Source organism: Homo sapiens, chromosome 7 (genome assembly GCF_000001405.40).
Source record: "Homo sapiens chromosome 7, GRCh38.p14 Primary Assembly".
In the NCBI taxonomy this organism is placed as follows: domain Eukaryota; kingdom Metazoa; phylum Chordata; class Mammalia; order Primates; family Hominidae; genus Homo; species Homo sapiens.
In genome coordinates, this window is record NC_000007.14 from 106,400,372 (window position 1) to 106,401,694 (window position 1,323).

The following is a 1,323-nucleotide window of genomic DNA, read 5'->3' on the forward strand; positions in this document are numbered from 1 at the left end:
TAAGTCTATTTTTAGGCATGGCGAATATAAGCATCCCATATATAATCAGGCAGAAATGTGAGACAGCCAACCTTTTTGGCTATATGGGTGGGCTACATTTACAAAGAATATAGGCTAATATTTCAAAACTCCATTTCATCAACCACAAATCTGATGGGACTAAAGTAAGTGAAGTGAGAATAAGCAATGATAACATTAAATGTCACGGAGAAGAAAGGGCTAAGTCAGGATTGGCCATTTCTTGGATTCTCGCTTTGGGAAACATATATAACCCAAGGAGAACCTTGATCCTCATTTCTGGCGGAAGTATAACAAGAGAAAAGAAGATTTATTCTAAAAATGTCCTTTCAAACAGATAACTTTATAATAAGTAATAATACTAGCATTGTTAAGAAGTTTGCTAATGATCTAGAGACACTTTTAAATTTGGATGGACAGTATTAGGTAAAAATAAGCTGTGCTGGAGACCCGGTCATATTTTAGATAGGTACAAGCTTTCTCAGATTAAATAGATTTTCTAAAATCTAAAATTGACTCTGATCATATGTAAGGGGGATTAAATGTATTCAGTGTCAGCCCAGAGGTCAGAATAGAATCCAAATTTTCAATAACAAAAGAGCCGATTAAATGGCTTTACAATGCAATAGGTAGCTTTTAAATGTAGTGAGCTCCTTGTTCCTTGAAATCTTCAGGAACTCTATATAAAATGTGTGTCTTTTGTCATACAAATCTGTAGTAAAGCTTTGATCATTTCTCAGAAGTAGCATCTTTCCTCCAGAGGATTGTGTGATCATTAGTGCAAGATACGTTGTCAAAGCGACATGGCTGTTATTGTCAAGTAGCTGGCTCTGCACAGGCTCTAATCATTTAAATGCATCAGATTTTGCCTTTTGTCTTTAGACAATGTGTCAAGAGTTCCTATTACAGTGGTGGGATTGTGACCCCTGCCCCTTTGGTTCATGGTAAAAGGCAGCCCCACATGACAGATTTTCCTGGTTTTGAACACTCCAGCTAATGACCAGGTGAGAGGACAATAATCTTGTTAGTGTCTATGTCAAGTTTTGTTCTGTGATAGAATAATTGAACCCAGACCCTCGCTTCCTCATCTCAGCTCCCACCTGGAGAAGAAACAGGAACTTTGTGGGTGGACAAATGGGAAGCAGGAACCTGGGATCAGGAGGAAATAAAGGCATCATCTGGCTTTTAGAAAAACCAGGTACAATAGAGAAGAACTGTTTTATTATCAGAGTTAGGGGTGCTTTAAAGTCTTGATCCAAAGACTTACAAGCTGCAGAATTATTTTTGCAGTATACCTCTTAAAAA

General features: G+C 37.5%; 1 annotated feature.

Moving 5' to 3' along the window:
- Positions 376-1,069: an enhancer, noted in NCBI's record as "OCT4-NANOG hESC enhancer chr7:106041193-106041886 (GRCh37/hg19 assembly coordinates)". NCBI's record gives its function as "activates a minimal SCP1, AML or CMV promoter by ChIP-STARR-seq in naive H9 embryonic stem cells {active_cell/tissue: H9 hESC(naive)}" and the evidence as "EXISTENCE:reporter gene assay evidence [ECO:0000049][PMID:30033119]".